At 47.8% G+C, this 16931-nt stretch overlaps 1 protein-coding gene and 1 long non-coding RNA gene across 7 annotated transcripts, besides 9 other annotated features; one reads left to right on the top strand and one right to left on the bottom strand.

Annotated features, from left to right (window-relative positions):
- Nucleotides 55-12136, top strand: TRIM52 (tripartite motif containing 52). Of its 6 annotated transcripts, none has more exons than XM_017009991.3 (2): nucleotides 55-1197; nucleotides 6916-12136. In XM_017009991.3, exons 1-2 carry the CDS (start codon nucleotides 385-387, stop codon nucleotides 7096-7098), a joined length of 996 nt encoding a protein of 331 aa, XP_016865480.1. In that variant the 5' UTR covers nucleotides 55-384; the 3' UTR covers nucleotides 7099-12136. The 6 variants fall into 6 exon arrangements, with proteins under 6 accessions (XP_016865480.1, NP_001332978.1, NP_001332977.1 ...); NM_001346049.2 differs by lacking the exon at nucleotides 6916-12136 and adding an exon at nucleotides 4683-6051; NM_001346048.2 differs by lacking the exon at nucleotides 6916-12136 and adding an exon at nucleotides 4339-6051.
- Nucleotides 75-124: an enhancer, noted in NCBI's record as "active region_23795". NCBI's record gives its function as "activates an Ori minimal core promoter by ATAC-STARR-seq in GM12878 lymphoblastoid cells {active_cell/tissue: GM12878}" and the evidence as "EXISTENCE:reporter gene assay evidence [ECO:0000049][PMID:35858748]".
- Nucleotides 305-354: an enhancer, noted in NCBI's record as "active region_23794". NCBI's record gives its function as "activates an Ori minimal core promoter by ATAC-STARR-seq in GM12878 lymphoblastoid cells {active_cell/tissue: GM12878}" and the evidence as "EXISTENCE:reporter gene assay evidence [ECO:0000049][PMID:35858748]".
- CTC-338M12.4 (uncharacterized LOC101928649) lies at nucleotides 3612-14657 on the bottom strand. The gene is made up of 3 exons (NR_109909.1): nucleotides 14316-14657; nucleotides 13812-14082; nucleotides 3612-4011 (listed from the first exon to the last, which is right to left on the bottom strand). It is a non-coding gene; the product is annotated as an uncharacterized LOC101928649 (long non-coding RNA).
- Nucleotides 12939-13866: an enhancer, noted in NCBI's record as "H3K27ac hESC enhancer chr5:180674332-180675259 (GRCh37/hg19 assembly coordinates)". NCBI's record gives its function as "activates a minimal SCP1, AML or CMV promoter by ChIP-STARR-seq in naive H9 embryonic stem cells {active_cell/tissue: H9 hESC(naive)}" and the evidence as "EXISTENCE:reporter gene assay evidence [ECO:0000049][PMID:30033119]".
- Nucleotides 13867-14793: an enhancer, noted in NCBI's record as "NANOG-H3K27ac-H3K4me1 hESC enhancer chr5:180673405-180674331 (GRCh37/hg19 assembly coordinates)". NCBI's record gives its function as "activates a minimal SCP1, AML or CMV promoter by ChIP-STARR-seq in naive and primed H9 embryonic stem cells {active_cell/tissue: H9 hESC(naive and primed)}" and the evidence as "EXISTENCE:reporter gene assay evidence [ECO:0000049][PMID:30033119]".
- Nucleotides 14125-14224: a silencer, noted in NCBI's record as "silent region_16797". NCBI's record gives its function as "represses an Ori minimal core promoter by ATAC-STARR-seq in GM12878 lymphoblastoid cells {active_cell/tissue: GM12878}" and the evidence as "EXISTENCE:reporter gene assay evidence [ECO:0000049][PMID:35858748]".
- Nucleotides 14455-14534: a silencer, noted in NCBI's record as "silent region_16796". NCBI's record gives its function as "represses an Ori minimal core promoter by ATAC-STARR-seq in GM12878 lymphoblastoid cells {active_cell/tissue: GM12878}" and the evidence as "EXISTENCE:reporter gene assay evidence [ECO:0000049][PMID:35858748]".
- Nucleotides 14635-14714: a silencer, noted in NCBI's record as "silent region_16795". NCBI's record gives its function as "represses an Ori minimal core promoter by ATAC-STARR-seq in GM12878 lymphoblastoid cells {active_cell/tissue: GM12878}" and the evidence as "EXISTENCE:reporter gene assay evidence [ECO:0000049][PMID:35858748]".
- Nucleotides 14794-15722: an enhancer, noted in NCBI's record as "NANOG-H3K27ac-H3K4me1 hESC enhancer chr5:180672476-180673404 (GRCh37/hg19 assembly coordinates)". NCBI's record gives its function as "activates a minimal SCP1, AML or CMV promoter by ChIP-STARR-seq in primed H9 embryonic stem cells {active_cell/tissue: H9 hESC(primed)}" and the evidence as "EXISTENCE:reporter gene assay evidence [ECO:0000049][PMID:30033119]".
- Nucleotides 15525-15574: an enhancer, noted in NCBI's record as "active region_23793". NCBI's record gives its function as "activates an Ori minimal core promoter by ATAC-STARR-seq in GM12878 lymphoblastoid cells {active_cell/tissue: GM12878}" and the evidence as "EXISTENCE:reporter gene assay evidence [ECO:0000049][PMID:35858748]".

The raw sequence follows: 16931 nt of genomic DNA, 5'->3' as shown, positions 1-16931 counted from the left end.
CGCCGGCCTAGAGCGTCTCTCCAGAGCGTGTGCAGGAGCGAGACGTCATTTTGCGTCGCCTCGGGCAGGGTAGCCAGCGGCTGCATCTGAGGCGGACGCCGCAGTGTAGGGCACACCCTGAGGGTAGCGAGAGACGTGACAGGACCGAGCAGCTGGGGGCTGCAGCCTGCTCTGTCCCCACCGATCCCAGAGAGAGGCTGTGAGTCTGGATCTGGGCGTTCGCACCCTGAGAGAGGGGGTCAAAGCTCCCCTGCGGCCCCGAGGAAGAAGAGCAAGGTTGAGGACAGCCTCGGGTCACCAGAGTAGTTTGGAGGCAGGCCTGCAGGCGCGTCCCCGCTCCTCAGCTCCAAGCTGACGTATCTACACCTGCCGGCGGGCATTAAGATGGCTGGTTATGCCACTACTCCCAGCCCCATGCAGACCCTTCAGGAGGAAGCGGTGTGTGCCATCTGCTTGGATTACTTCAAGGACCCCGTGTCCATCAGCTGTGGGCACAACTTCTGCCGAGGGTGTGTGACCCAGCTGTGGAGTAAGGAGGACGAGGAGGACCAGAACGAGGAGGAAGATGAATGGGAGGAGGAGGAGGACGAGGAAGCGGTGGGGGCCATGGATGGATGGGACGGCTCCATTCGAGAGGTGTTGTATCGGGGGAATGCTGACGAAGAGTTGTTCCAAGACCAAGATGACGATGAACTCTGGCTCGGTGACAGTGGTATAACTAATTGGGACAACGTAGACTATATGTGGGACGAGGAGGAAGAAGAAGAAGAGGAAGATCAGGACTATTACCTAGGAGGCTTGAGACCTGACCTGAGAATTGATGTCTACCGAGAAGAAGAAATACTGGAAGCATACGATGAGGACGAAGATGAAGAGCTGTATCCTGACATCCACCCGCCTCCTTCCTTGCCCCTTCCAGGGCAGTTCACCTGCCCCCAGTGCCGAAAGAGCTTTACACGTCGCAGCTTTCGTCCCAACTTGCAGCTGGCCAACATGGTCCAGATAATTCGCCAGATGTGCCCCACTCCTTATCGGGGAAACCGGAGTAATGATCAGGGCATGTGCTTTAAACACCAGGAAGCCCTGAAACTCTTCTGTGAGGTGGACAAAGAGGCCATCTGTGTGGTGTGCCGAGAATCCAGGAGCCACAAACAGCACAGCGTGCTGCCTTTGGAGGAGGTGGTGCAGGAGTACCAGGTGAGAGAAATGAGGGAATGTGGGGGGATGAAGGGAGTGGAAAGGTAACTAGGAGAGCTGAGGAATGAGTAGCATTCCTTTCCCACCTCCTCAGGTACTTAGTTGCTAAACTTCTCTTTATTTGATGAGGGAGACACGGTGGAGAGAGATGGTCATATGGGTAAAAAAGGAGACACAAAACCATGAAGATTGGGGCAGATTGGCTTCCCCAGAGGAAGCTGAACAGATAATATGACGGTCACTGGAAGCGGACCACTACTGCTAATACTGGCAGTCTACCTAAGTGTAAGGGACGTGAGTAACAGATACCCAGTACTTCATTTCTCCCTAATGTGAGTCCTTGACCAATTCCCTGGGACAGGTACAGATAGGAATAGAAAGCCACAGTACTTGGAGATAATAGACATTTGGGACCTCAGCACAAGCAGTGTCAAAATAGATGTATTGGTAGACAGAAATGCCAGATGTGAGTCCTAAACTACTGATAGCAATTGGCCACACCCCCCCTCTGAAAGTCTGGGATTGCATCTCTACCTTCAGTGGGGTCCGTTTTCCTTCTAGAGAAAGGCAAAGCATATAAGCATCTTTGATGGATCAGAATGTGCCTCATATCCTGATCACTTTTCTTTCCTGGTATTTTATCATAGTGGAAGGAGTGCGGGATTTAGGATCAGATGACCTGGCTCTGCCACTTACTGTCTAGTCTTGGGCAGGTGTCAACCTCCTTGAGCTTCACTTTTTCCCTAGGATTGTAAGGATTAAAAGAGATCATATATGTTAACCATAAAGCACTAAACAAATGTTTGCTGTTTTATTTGGCTTTCTTGTAACTTGTCTTCCCTTGTTTGGGTGCTGATATGGTTAATGCCTTGCTTTCTAGTCTTGACTTCTAAGCATTAGATAATTGTCTCAATGACAATGAGCATGAGTACCATCTTCCTTACCAAAAGTCTAGGTAGATTTGACTCCTAGCAGTGCCCAAACGAAGGAGAGGTTGTCTTCAGGCCCATAAAGGTTGACCTGGATATGCAGCAGCCGCTGCTCACGTCTTAGTAGTGCTTTACAGTTTATAAAATATATTTCCTCGTGTTCTCCTATAGCAGTGGTTTTCAAATTGTTTTTTGACCAATTAGTGTGTCTTAAAATAAATGGGTCATGCCTAGCATTATCTCAAAATGAAGTAAGAGAAAATATTAGAACACATGGAACATAGTAAGGGTAAGTACTGCTTTATGAAACTTTTAAGTTATATATATATACATGTATATACTTCATCTAAAAATATATTGCTTTCTTTGAGTTGCAGTCAAAACACAAACACAGAGCACTGTCCTACAGGCTTCATGTATTAGATATTATTATCACCCCCCTGCCCCCATTTTATAGCAAATATTGGGAAGTGCACAGTTAAGGCACAAATCTAACCATAAGTCACTGCTACCTCTGTTACATTAACCTGACTTGAAGGACAAATCCTAGTACCATGTTTTCACCCAAGGTGATAACTAAAGTATCCCATGGAAAAAACTTATGTCCTATGCTTCTGGGTTTTAGTATACTGAAGCTGAGGAAAAGAGAGAACCTTCCATTTCTCTTCTAACTTTTTTTTTTGAGACGGTATCTTGCTCTGTTGCCCAGGCAGAAGTGCAATGGCATGATCTCGGCTCACTGCAACCTCCGTTTCCCGGGTTCAAGCGATCCTCCTGCCTCAGCACCCCTAGTAGTTGCGATTACAGGCACATGCCACCATGCCCAGCTAATTTTGCATTTTTAGTAGAGATGGGGTTTCACCATGTTGGCCAGGCTGGTCTTGAACTCCTGACCTCAGGAGATCCACCACCTGGGCCTCCCAAAGTGCTGGGATTACAGGCATGAGCCACTGTGCCCAGCCTTCCTCAGCTAACTTTTATCATCATCCCCTTCCCCCATTTTATAGTAAATATTGTTAAGTGCACAGTTAAGACACAAATCTTTTTTTATTTTTATTTATTTATTTATTTACTTATTTATTTGAGCTGGAGTCTCGCTCTGTCATCAGGCTAGAGTGCAGTGGTGCGATCTCGGCTCACTGCAACCTACGCCTCCCGAGTTCAAGCGATTTTCCTGCCTCAGCCTCCCAAGTAGCTGGGAATACAGGTGCGCACCACCATGCCCAGCTAATTTTTGCATTTTTAGTGTAGACGGGGTTTCACCATGTTGGCCAGGATGGTCTCAATCTCTTGACCTCCTGATCCCCCCGCCTCGGCCTCCCAAAGTGCTGGGATTACAGATGTGAGCCACCATGCCTGGGTGTCTCTTTCATTCTTTAGGCAGTTCATTGTCACTTCCTTCCATTGGTAAACATGTAAATTATAGTCGCATGATTTAGAATTTTACTGACCAAAGTCATAATAATAGTTAACAGTACAAGGAACTATTTTTGTATAATGGTTTATTTAATACAGTATACATTATCTTTCATATACTTTGTTACAATGTTAAAAAAACTTCATTTTTCATAATATAGGAAATAAAGTTGGAAACAACTCTGGTGGGAATACTTCAGATAGAGCAAGAAAGCATTCACAGCAAGGCCTATAATCAGTAAGATGTGTGAAAAGTTGGGTAGCCACAGGAGGTGTTCATTAAGGATATGATTCCATTTATATAGCTATTTCTATTGCATAACCAGGACAGTTTTATTGTTTTGAGGTCAATGTTCTTTTAAAATTTGATTTTCTGTAAGAAGAGGCTTTTTGGCCCAGAAAGCCTTACTTATTTTACATCTTCCAGTTTGTCCATCCCATGAGTTAGAGTTCGTCTTGACTCTGCAAGCTAGAATCAAAGAATTATGAAAGTAAGATCATTTAGATTTGACCAAGGGCACCATTAAATGGTGTCAGGTTTTAGGAAGCAGACGGGTGTATAAAAAGAAAATGAACAAAGATTTCACTTATTGGGGATCAGGCATAACTGGATGCCTGGATTGTCCTGCCACCCAGCTGCCACCAATAAAATCATTCATCACTCTGCAAGAGGGACCAGATGCTTCCATCATCAGTACTCCTTGTTTTTCTGTTATCTCCTTTGAGGTAGCTAAAAATGGCAGCCAAAAAAAAATGTTGAGGCTTTTCTCAAGTATATACTCATGTTATTTTGCAGAAGATAGGGTCAACTTCTTCAGTTGAGTTATCTGAAAGTGTTGGGCAGTGACACCATGCCAAACACTGTTAAATTCATGCCATTAAAAACAGTGGAGTGTTCTGCAAAGCCCGATTCTCTGCAGCTTTAAGACTGGACAGTATTGAAATATTCACAGGAATCTTCCAAGCCGTGAAAGCTTAATATTAAACAGCCCTTTTAATTGCAAAGGAGAAAAAAATGGAGACACTTGTGAAACCTTGCATTCTGAGTGCTGCCACAAATAAATTAAGGAATTCCAGAATTTCTTCATCTACTTCTGCAGTCTTAACTCTGAATTAATGACTGTATATATCAAACTTCAGATCTTAAAAAACATCAGCTCGCAAGAGGCTGAGGCAGGAGAATGACATGAACCTGGGAGGCGGAGCTTGCAGTAAGCCGAGACTGAGCCACTGCACTCCAGCCTGGGCAATAGAGCAAGACTCCATCTCAAAAAAAAAAAAAAATCGGCTCATCTTTTATTGCTGTTGGTTGAGATGAATCTACTGATGAAGAAAACTGTACTTTGCTTACATTCAGAATAAGGCTTTCAAAACTGTGGGTGTGCTGTTTTCGTGAGCCTTCTACTTGACCACCAAAGACAGTATTTTTGCAGCTGTATCAAATGAACCGAGTTGGAGGAAATTGTATAGGAGTATATCTTAATGGCACTACAGCAAACTGTGTTAAATTTGGGTTTTTGGCAAAGATTGAAGAAAACTGGTATTCAAGATGTACTGCAGCTGTCACCACCAAGCATGAACTTTCACTGATTACCCATAACCTACTGGAAATCTTCAGCCTTGCTGTCAGCATAGACCACTGTGAGAAACAGTACATTCCATTCCAGTTTGCCCTGCTTTTTGAAGATCTAAATGCCATTCCATGTTTTCTGTTACATATTGAAGTTTCTTGGTTGCCAAAGAAAAACGGATTCTGCTGAACTTGTGGACAGAACAACCCCAAGGTTGGAAGAACAATGAAAAATAATCTATACTTGAACATTTCAAAAGTTAAAATTTTCAACAGAGTTTTAACACACTGAAGCTTAAAATACATTGACACTGAAATGTCAATGGGCAAACACCAATTTCGCCGTTCATTATGAAATACATCAAACAAAACTTGCCAAAAATACAACCATAAAAATATAGCAAATGTATGTATGAGCAAACTAATGCTAAAAATGTCTAATTTTCTTGGCTAGTCTTTCAAGGACCAGATTCATGAGTGTTATTTGAAGGGAAAAAGTGAAATACTTGGAATTATTTTGAGTGATGTGCTCCTGAGCTTGTTCTTAAAATCTACCAGTGGTAGCTTTTGGAAAGAATGTGTTTCATACCGATGTGCAGGCCTCACTGGAAGAGCTTCAAGAGGAGTTTGTGAAACTCAAAGTCTAATGGTTTTGATTAGAAACTTCCAGGCAAATACTCCAGAGAAACTTGGGTGTAAAATGACTAAACAGATGAAAAGGCTTTATCCACTATTCCATTTGCTCCTTACACCTTAAAAAGCTTTTTTATTTTTTAATGTTTTGATATATCTAGCTTTGGGGAGAAAGCAGTGCAAGAGTGTTATTAAAAGCAGCTTGTGTTTTCTTGCACCTTTCACACCACCCAGGAAAGAAAAGTTCAGGCTTAACAGTGACATGGCTATCACATCATCTGAATAAATTTTTTCCTTCTAAAATTACTACTGCTTTCATTAATTTCAATCATGATACTTAATTTTGAAATTGTAAATGGAGGGGCAAATGTGAGATTTTCAGGTATATGAAAAGTAGAAGTGTGGGTTACAAAAACATTGAGGAAAAACATACAGCTCACCTGTTTATTGAATGTCTTCCCTATTAGGTTCAGCTGTTCACTGCTGTATCACAAGTCAGACTGTTTAAACTTGTTCCTCTACTTCTGTGGCTGTACCCTGGATCTCATCTTCAGATTGGCTACACATCTGAAATCAACTCCCATTGCACTATGACCTTAGCTCTTAGCCTTCCAATACACTTAAGCACACTCCAATTACACCTGCCCTTCAGCTTTAGGGAGCCCACTGTTTCACTGACTCCATATTTTTTCCTTCCCAATTTATCAGACATTTAACAGCCTTACTATCCTACTGAGCCTAGACTGCATGATTCATTTTGGCATAAAGACCTGATACAGGCCGGGCGCGGTGGCTCACGCCTGTAATCCCAGCACTTTGGGAGGCCAAGGCGGGTGGATCACGAGGTCAGGAGATCGAGACCATCCTGGCTAACACAGTGAAACCCCGTCTCTACTAAAAACACAAAAAATTAGCCAGGCATGGTGACGTGCACCTGTAGTCCCAGCTATTCAGGAGGCCTGGGCAGGAGAATCACTTGAACCCGGGAGGCGGAGGTTGCAGTGAGCCGAAATCGCCGTCACTGCACTCCAGCCTGGGCGACAGAGCGAGACTCTGTCTGCGGGGGAAACAACAACAACAACAACAAACCTGATTCATGTTGTCATCTAAACCGGATTGATTGATTGATTGATTTCTTTTTCTTTCTCTCTCTCTCTCTCTGTTTGACAGAGTCTCGCTCTGTTGCCCAGGCTGGAGTGTGGTGGCACGATCTCGGCTCACTGCCAGCTCCGCCTCCTGGATTCATGCCATTCTCCTGCCTCAGCCTGCCGAGTAGCTGGGACTACAGGCGCCCGCCACCAAGCCTGGCTAATTTTTTGTATTTTTAGTAGAGACAGGGTTTCACCGTGTTAGTCAGGATGGTCTCGATCTCCTGACCCCGTGATCTGCCCGCCTCGGCCTCCCAAAGTGCTGGGATTACAGGCGTGAGCCACCGCGCCCGGCCTCTTTCTTTCTTTCAATGCTTTTGTTTTTGTTTTGTTTGAGCCAGGGTCTCACTCTGTTGCCCAGACTGGAGTGCAGTAGTGCAATCACAGCTCACTCACTTCCTACGTTCAAGTGATGCTCCCACGTCAGCCTTCTGTGTAACAAGGACTATAGTGCAGCTAATTTATTTTTATTTTTTGTGGAGATCTCCCTACATTGCCCAGGCTGGTCTTGAACTCCTGGTGGGCTCAAGTGATCCTCCTGCCTTGGCCTCCCAAAATGCTGGGATTACAGTCATGAGCCACCACACCCAGCCTAGACCAGGATTTCTCAACCTCGACCCTATTGACATTTTGAGTGAGATAATTCTTTGTTGTGGGCAGCTGTCCTATGCATTATAGGATACTTAGTAGCATCTCTGGACTCTACCCACTACATGCAGGTAGTACCCCTCCACTAGTTGTGACAACCACAAATGTCTCTAGACATTACCAAATGTCCCATAAGCAGACATTGCAAAATCATCCCCAGTTGAGAACCACTGATGTAGTCAGGGAAAGTGGTCATGTCCACATATCATCCTCTTGTAGGCACTATAGCCGGTGCCTGGCATAGGTGTTCAAAAGTGGAACACCTACTCTTGAGAGGAAGAATAGGCTTGCCTAGCTAGCACTTTATTAAAAGTACCCTGAGGGCCAGGCACGGTGGCTCATGCCTGTAATCCCAGCACTTTGGGAGGCCGAGGTAGGCAGATCACCTGAGGTCGGGAGTTCCAGACCAGCCTGACCAACATGGAGAAACCCTGTCTCTGCTAAAAATACAAAATTAGCCAGGCATGGTGGCGCATGCCTGTCATCCCAGCTACTCAGGAGGCTGAGGCAGGAGAATCACTTGAACCTGGGAGGAGGAGGTTGCAGTGAGCCGAGATCGCACCATTGCACTCCAGCCTGGGCAACAAGAATGAAACTCCATCTCAAAAAAAAAAAAAAAAAGTACCCTGAGTATCAGTGGATTAGTGGATATGACACCCACTACTCCCTGCTCTTGGAGTGGGGTAGCAAAGTCAACAAACCTTTTCTAAACATTACCGCTGCTTATGTCACTTGGATTTGGGAGAACAAGAACCGTGACAGATAAACAGTTTACAAAATCAAGCTCTGGAGATTTTGAGTAATAACAATCACTTCAGCTACTCAGTTCCAGCAGAGCAGTAGGGATGTCATTTTTTGTTTTCAGGTATTACGCAGAACCACTGAGTCCACAGTGGAGGTGGCCCTGGTAATATAACATCAGTCCCTAAAGTACTTTCTTAAAACCTAAGGCTCTTGCCATTGACCATCAACCCCTGGCCTCTATGCCATGCCTCCTGAAACTCCTATAAGACTTGTAGATTCTATGCTGCTTCCTACCCCCAATTCCTAACTCCTCTGAAAATTATCCTGTAACAGTGAAGTTATTGCAAATATTTGCTGGCTGGTAAAATGGGGTTATAAGAAAGGAAGCTAAAGACGCTAGTCCTCCACATTCAAGCTAATAGAACTTCATGTAACAATGGAAGTATTCTGTATCTGCTGTCTAATACAGTAGATACTACTAGCTACATATGACTTGAGCTCTTGAAATGTGGCTAGTGCACCTCATGAACTCAATTTTTAAGATAGTATTTAATTTAATTTTAATTAGCCACATGTAGCTAGTGGCTATCAAATCCTATTTAACAGCACAGTTCTGTACAACCAAAGTCTAGTTCTTCCTGGGGCCCTTGGGAGTAGCAAGTCCAAGGGGGAGGATAAAAACAGAAATGAAACAATTTTCTTTTTCCAGCTGGGAGCGGTAGGCTGTAAGGTAATATTTTTAGACATAAAAGGAGAAAATATTTTATTTTTAAAATCTGACCAAAATGATCTTGAGCCACCTATCACTTCTGATACACGTGGATCACACGGGTGACGAGACAGGAGAAAACTAGGGGAAACAAGTTAGAAAATAAACTGTATTACCTTCTCCTATCAAAAAAGGTCTGGGGCTAGAGCTGGAGCCTCAAAATAGGAGGGATAATAAATATAGGGTTTTACTTTGTGCCTGACTTTTTGAAAATGGGATGGGGGGCAAAACCTAGTATTGAAGCAGGTAAGTGGGTTCTTTCCGTGTTACAGCAGATGAGGGTGATGAGGAGCTCTTGGAGTCCTGGAAGAGAGAGCAGCCTGTGCTGACAGAGTTAATGAGAGGACAGATCTAGGAGTAACAGGGTCTGAGGAGAGGAGATGGCCTCCCAGACCATGAGAACTAACAGTTGTGATAAATTTAATCATAGTCTGTCCAAACCAGAGAGTCCTCAAGTGTGGTATGAGAATCCTGGGTGTGGGGCAGTGAGCTCATTTCTGCTCTTGAGAAGTGTAGGAGATGCAGCAAGGTTCCTGCTATCAGGAGACCTGCAAAGATGGAAGGAAACGTTCCTCTAAGTTATTACTTGTCTCACCTCCTCCCTCCCCCAAAGGAAGGGGAAAGATAGACACCTCGGGGATTTGAATTAGAAATAGCCCTTTGGAGGGTTTTTTTGTTTGTTTGTTGTTGTTATTGTTGTTTTCCATTTTTTTTACACAGCTCCAAACAGCCAACTGAAATAAAAATAGCCTTTAAGAACAAGGAGGCTTATCCTCTATAGCGATTCCCCCTGCTGAGGTTTGTGCTTAGGCCTTCCTAGCTTTCTCGTCTCATCTTTTTTCTTTTTTTTTTTGAGTTTTGCCCTTGTCGCCCAGGCTCTGGAGTGCAGTGACACGACCTCGGCTCACTGCAACCTCCACCTCCCAGGTTCAAGCAGTTCTCCTGCCTCAGCCTCCAGGGTAGCTGGGATTACAAGCATGTGCTACCACGCCCAGCTAATTTTTTTATATTTAAAAAAATTAAAATGTAATTTTAATTGTTGGCCAGGCTGGTCTCGAACTCCTGACCTCAGGTGATCTGTCCACCTCGGCCTCCCAAAGTGCTGGGATTATAGGCAGGAGCCACCACGCCCAGCCATCTCCCCTCATCTTAAGGGACCGAGATCCCAACTTAGAGCCCTTTGGTTGACAATTCCAGCTGGCAGTAAGCAGAGTCCTACAAAGATAAGGAGGGATCCAGGTGGCCTGGAGAGGATCCATGGAGCTCACATCCCCTTTTTCTCTGACATTTCTTAGGCACATGGAATCCCTTCTACTCCTACAGCAAAGGATGTGATTTCTCCGCAGGCCCTGGCCATTTAGCCTTAGTGTGAGCAGAGAGGACTGCCCTTCATCCCTCATACAAATTTGAGCTAGCCAGCCCCAGGGTTCCATTCTGACCTTTTTCGCACTCTGGTTTATATGACGTCCTCTCTCCAGTAGAAAGCTGAGAAAATGAAACTTGGGTCATCTTTTGTTTCTCTCTACCATCTAATGCTACTTTAAATCCTTTGACAAGGAGGCTAGAAGCTTGACTTCTCCCTGCATTTCTTTTTTTTTTTCTTTTTTTGAGATGCAGTCTCCCTCTGTTGCCCAGGCTGGAGTGCGGTGACGCAATCTCGGCTCACTGCAACCTCTGCCTCCTGGGTTCAAGTGATTCTCCTGCCTCAGCCTCCCAAGTAGCTGGGATTACAAGCATGCACCACCACGCCCAGCTAATTTTTGTATTTTTAGGAGAGACAGGGTTTTGCCATGCTGGTCAGGCTGGTCTTGAACTCCTGACCTCAAGTGACCCACCTGCCTTGGCCTCCCAAAGTGCTGGAATTACAGGCATGAACCACCGCGCCCGGCCATCCCTGCATTTATTATAGTCCTGTCTGGACCATCCCCTTTCCACAGCCTCTGACTCTGTATCTGCCAAAGCACCCAGGCCTAGCCCACAGTCCATCTCCCAAGGAAGCCCCAACAGACAACAGAATGCTTTCTGGGGGACTGCTAGACGTCAGACTTCTGCCTAAAATTTATGCTGAATCTTTATCAGGAAAATAAACATTTTTTTAAAAAGTTAATGACCAGGCTGGCCAACATGGTGACACCCTGTCTCTACCAAAAAAGACAAAAATTAGCCAGGCATGTAGTCCCAGCTACTCGGGAGACTGAGGTGGGAGAATTGTCTGAACCCAGGAGGCGAAGGGTGCTGTGAGCCAAAATGGCACCACTGCACTCCAGCCTGGGTGACAGAGTGAGACGCTGTCTCAAAAAAAAAAAAAAAAAAAAACTGCAAGTGATCTCTGATCTCTTTGTAAGATTTGTTCCAGGAACTGATTTAATTTCACAGCCGACCTCACTAAGAGTGGGACAGCACCTATACTTGTACTCCTGTTTCCTGGTCTCCAAACTTTTTGTGCTTAATTTTTTTTTTTTCTTTTTGAGACAGGATCTTACCCTGTCACCCAGGCTGGAGTGTAGTGATGTGATCATAGCTCACTGCGGCCTCCAACTTCTGGGCTCAAGCGATCCTCCTGCATCAGCCTCCTAAGTAGCTGGGACTACAAGCGTGCACCACCATGCCTGGCTAAAATTTTTAAAAATTTTATAGCGATGGGGTCTCACTGTGTTGGTCTTGAACACCTGAGTTCAAGTGATCCTCCCACCTCAGCCTCCCAAACTGCTGGGATTACAGGTGTGAACCATGCTCAACCAAAGAGCTCCTATATACAGAGGCCAATTCTAGACACTGGAGTGAAGGAAGTAGTGTAGGGATGAGAGAGACCTCTTAGTCATAAGGTCTTTAGTAAGTACTCAGTCCCTCCTTTAGTGCCACTTCGTAGGAATCTTGCACCACCACCCCCAGCTAAATTTAGGGTCCCCCTAGAGACCTTCCTGTACAGCATCTCAGCCTTTGGCTTGACTCATTTGTCTTGAATACTGCAGTGGCTTCTTAACTCTTCTTGTCTCTAGTTTTACTCCTCCAACCTAGCCTGCACCGTGACAATAAGTGCGTTTTTAGCAGGTAGCAATAAAAACTTGTCCTAAAAAAAGAAGCAGTCTAGGCAGGACAGTGCTGAGATCAGACTTTTTTTGTTGTTGTTGAGATGGAGTCTCACTCTTATCACCCAGGCTGCAGTGCAGTGGCATGATCTCTGCTCACTACAACCTCCACCTCCCCGGTTCAAGCAATTCTCCTGCCTCAGCCTCCCGAGTAGCTGGGACTACAGGCACGTGCCACCAGGCCCAGCTAATTTTTTGTATTTTTAGTAGAGACGGGTTTCACCGTGTTAGCCAGGATGGTCTGGAACTCCTGACCTCGTGATCTGCCTGCCTTGGCCTTCCGAAGTACTGGGATTACAGGCGTGAGCCACTGCGCCTGGCCGAGATCAGACTCTTAAAGAAACTACTCTAGGCCTGGCCGAGATCAGACTCTTAAAGAAACTACTCTAGGCCTGGCCGAGATCAGACTCTTAAAGAAACTACTCTAGGCTTCAGGACAAAATCCAGATCCCTTAGTAGCAAGGCCTTCCAAACTAGGGCTCCTTGACCCTCAGGGGTTTCACTCCCTCCTAAGGAGCCCTCAAAGCTATCCCTACCTTACCTCTGCACCTACGCTGATCCCTCTGCCTGGAACGCCCTTCCTTTAACTACTTGACCTTTACTTTTCAACCCATGAGGCTGGCCACCAAAATTAGAATCTTCCACAGGCCAAAGCCTCCACTGGGTGGTGAGAATGCAACACTTAGCAGAAACAGAGCAGTCCTTGTGAGGAGACACCTGAGGGATAAGAAGAACCAGTATACACTACACCACCGCTGTGAAAGCATGAAACAAATGTGACCTAGACCTGAGGGTCCCAGAGGCTTCCCTGAACAGGCAACCTAAGCTGAGACCCCAAGAAAGCTTAGATTGAACCGAGAGGGTTGGGGAGGGATGTGATGGGCCTTCCAGGCAGAACAATGTGTGTTCTGTGTGGGAGAGAACTAATGAGTTTGGAGGAAGAGCGGAGGCCCAGTCTGGCCACAAACACAAGAGTATGGGACACGCCAGAGGAAGCCACACGGATTTTGCAGGGAGACAGTAAGGATTTTGCTCATCATCTTAAAGTACGTAAAGTACGTGGGAAAGCCTCCTGCACAGAGTTTTAGCTGGCAGTCAGCAGGCCCTCTGGTCCTGGCCACGCACCTTTCCCTCAGCCTCGCCTCAGCATTCAAGGGAAAACCTGCCACCGCGCAAGCCCTCCAGGGTCTGGAATGCTGGCAGGAGGGGATGGATGCCTCTGCTCCTGGAGAAAAGGGCTCTGGCAGGGAAGCCTGAGGGGCTGGTTCCAACTGTACAGGTCCTGTGGACTCCTCAGAAAAGGAATGGTGAGATGGATTTTCATAGGAGAGCCTCTCCAATTTCTCCTTGGGACTTTTTTTTTTTTTTTTTTGAGACGGAGTCTCTCTCTGTCGCCCAGGCTGGAGTGCAGTGGCGCCATCTCGGCTCACTGCAAGCTCCGCCTCCCGGGTTCACGCCATTCTCCTGCCTCAGCCTCCCGAGTAGCTGGGACTACAGGCGCCCGCCACCACGCCCTAATTTTTTGTATTTTTAGTAGAGACGGGGTTTCACCGTGTTAGCCAGGATGGTCTCGATCTCCTGACCTCGTGATCCGCCCGCCTCGGCCTCCCAAAGTGCTGGGATTACAGGCGTGAGCCACCGTGCCCGGCCTCTCCTTGGGACTCTTACCTTGTATGGAATGGAAGTGGTGCCTCTGGGGTCCCAGACACGGGAGAGAGGAAGCAGCCCAGGGGCTGGGAGAAGTGGTGAGACCCAGAAGAACGGTGGACCCAGTCAGGAAGGGTCCTGCCAGCAGGGCGTGGGCCAGCCTCGGGGTCTTCCCCAAAAGGCAGGTAGGGGCCTCCAGCAAGCTTCCCACCTCCGTGAGGCTGGAGAAGAGGCCCCCTGGATGAGAAGGAAGAGGCCGGCAGGTCCGGCGGGCGCAGGCACAGGTAGACTTCTGGTGGGAAAAGCGTGACTCAGCCTCCTCCAGCGGCTGCAGGACGTCCCCCCGCTAGAAAGGGCCGGGCTCCCTTTGCTGACCCAGAGTCAACCCAGCGATTCCTCCCGGGGAGGCGGGGGGCCCCGGCCCCGGCCCAGAGCGCATGCCTATGCCGGGAGCTGGGCGAGGACAGGGCACAGCCACAGCTGGGTGCCCAACGGGAAAGGCGGCCGTTCCCCCTCAAGCTGCACCTGAAGGGGTCCCCAGGGTCGAGGCCACTTCTCCTTCGGCTCAGGGTTGACCTTCAGTGACCACTGTGGCCTGCGGGCATCCCCTGGGAGGGACGGAGGGGGATGGAGGAAAACTCCAAAGGGAAAGGCCGAATCCTGCAGGGTCTGGTCGTCGGAAAGCCAACCATACAGTCAGCCCTCCCTCTCCTCGGGCTGCCGTCGCCATCCGGGTCCACACGGGCTCTAAGACAAAACCCCAATTGCCCCCAAGGCCCCATAGGAGGGGCGCTGCCAGAATCGCCTATTTTTAGTGAAAGAGAACCGGGCCGGGAGACGGCGGCAGGGGGCCGGAGCATTCCCGAGGTCTCGGTCTGGGTGTCGCGAGGCAGGGAAAGAGGGCGGCCCCGGAGCGGAGCGGGAAAGGGGGCGGGGCAGGGTGGGGCCGGACGTGGCAACCTCCCGCTTCCGGGACAGTGACCCGCGGCGCGGCAAGGCCTTTCCCTTGGGCGTGGGTGGGGACCTGGACTCCCTGTGGAACGTTTAAGAAAAAGAGAACCGAATGAGGTTTCGCGAAAGGAAAAAAAATGTAACTGTGATCTAGTGCTGTTGACGGCCGCGAATGGAGAAACCCCGTGTTCTCGAGGACAAATTGGAACTCCTCGGCGTTTTAGGTCCTCAACCCGGGAACCCCTCGCACCGCGAATCTCAGTCCACAGCGGGAGGCGGGTGTGGTCGTTCACCTATTTGTGCCCGAGGGCTCAGGGAGGCGCTGGCATGACCCGAGTGGGGGGCAGCAAGCTGGTTAGCGGGAGGGTGAAGGCAGCGGTCTTCCACGACCACCACAATCACCTGGGTAGGGATTGAGTCCCGTATTGGAAAAGCGAAAGAACAGTCAGCTGGGGGTGCCAAGGAGGCAGGTGATGTATACAAACCTGGAGCCTTAGGATGGTCCACAGGCTGCGGAGGACCACAGCCAGGACAACGTCCCGGAAAGCCCAAGGGAGACTGCGGCGGAAGGCAGGGGAACCTGCAGAGGACCAGGAGAGCAAGCTGTTTCAGGGAGGGATCCTGGCCTTCCCTGCACACCTGGGCGTCTACAGCCTCCGGCAGCTCTGCCACCCTCCCTCGCCTGTCTTCTGCCTTTACGCAGGCTTTCTAGCAGACATTGCCAAGGTTCTTCTCCAGGCCTTCAAGGCCCTAGGTTAACTGCACCCTCCATTTCCCTGCTCTGTCCTCAGCCCCTCCACACTCCAGCTCAGTACGTTGGCACTAACTCTTCCCTCCGATTGAAATATTTTTCCCCCATTTGACTTCCCTCCACAGGAACATTATTCTCCCATATACCCGCAGGGCTCTCTCCGTGTCTCTGTTCCAATGTTCTCCCCTCTTCGCATACCGTAGGAAGTAAACTGCAAATAAAACAAACCAGGGTCCCCCCTCTGTCTTGTTCACAGCTGTGTCCCCAAGACCTAAAATAAGGCCTGGCACCCAAGAGGTGCTAAGTTTCACAACATTTACTCTGCCTTGTTCAGGGCGCTTTACATTTGCTTCTTCACTTTCCACACCACCATGTAATGTAGATACTAATATTATTTCCAATCTCATTTCACAGATGAGAAACGAAAGTTGATAGATGTCACAAATAGAAAAGTATATACTTAGGTATAATGCCCCCTTTATTTTGCATAGATGTTGGTGGCTGCTATCATCCTGATCTGTGCCCCTGTTTAAAACTACTTGAATAGACATGGTGCCAACACTGTCTCTTATAGTCAGAGATGGGTGAGAATGGGAGCCATTACTTATTTAAATTCCTGCGGTCGAGCGGAAGGCAGAAGGACAGTTAGGTATCCGTGTTCCACCGCTTCCCTGTCTGGGCACGTCCTTCAGGGCACAGTTGGACCCCCAGACCCCTGGGCTTTTGTGTACGCTGGCTGGGCCCAGAGAGAGCTTTCCACTAGATGTCCCCAGAAGTCAGAACCTTAAGGTCCTCCTTTGGGCATTTCCGTTTCTGCGAGAGCTTCCCGTGTTCTGGCCTAGGCAGGAACGGATTGGCAGTCTAGCAACACACAGGGCAATTTTTACTTTATTATTTTATTGTATGTATGTATTTATTTATTTGAGTCGGAGTCTCGCTCTGCTGCCCAGGCTGGAGTGCAGTGGCGCGATCTCGGTTCACTGCAACCTCCGCCTCTCAGGTTCAAGGGATTCTCCTGCCTCAGCCTCCCGAGTAACTGGGATTACAGGCACCCCCCACCACGCCTGGCTAATTTTAATTTTTTTTATTTATTTATTTGGAAAGAGGTTGCATCATGTTGGCCAGGCTAGTCTTGAACTCCTGACCTTAAGTGATCCACCCGCCTCGGCCTCTCAAAGTGGTAGGATTACAGGCATGAGCCACCGCGCCCGGGAAAAAGAGACCAATTCTTAGTTCATCCAGAGTAACCCTCTCCTGCCTTAGTCCAGCCTGGACTAAGTCCTTCCGGAGTTGGTGTGCATCAGAACAAAAACCTCGTGAGGGGAGAACACCCTCCGGAAGCACAGTTTTAAAGTTTATTTTTAACATTTTAATACTCTACTTTTTAAATTGCCCATCGTTACCCACGATAGTGAAATGAAAATTAAGCTCCCCTGGGG

The sequence above is a fragment of the Homo sapiens genome, chromosome 5, assembly GCF_000001405.40.
Source record: "Homo sapiens chromosome 5, GRCh38.p14 Primary Assembly".
Lineage (NCBI taxonomy): Eukaryota > Metazoa > Chordata > Mammalia > Primates > Hominidae > Homo > Homo sapiens.
The sequence above is the reverse complement of the archived record's forward strand: the minus strand, read 5'-3'. Positions and strand labels throughout refer to the sequence as shown.

Excerpts from the sequence above, each read along its gene's own strand:
- TRIM52 (XM_017009991.3), top strand. The coding sequence starts at position 385 with ATGGCTGGTTATGCCACTACTCCCAGCCCCATGCAGACCCTTCAGGAG. Across the intron at positions 1,198-6,915 it reads AGGTGGTGCAGGAGTACCAG|AGTCTCGCTCTGTTGCCCAG; the intron begins GTGAGAGAAATG and ends TCTGTTTGACAG.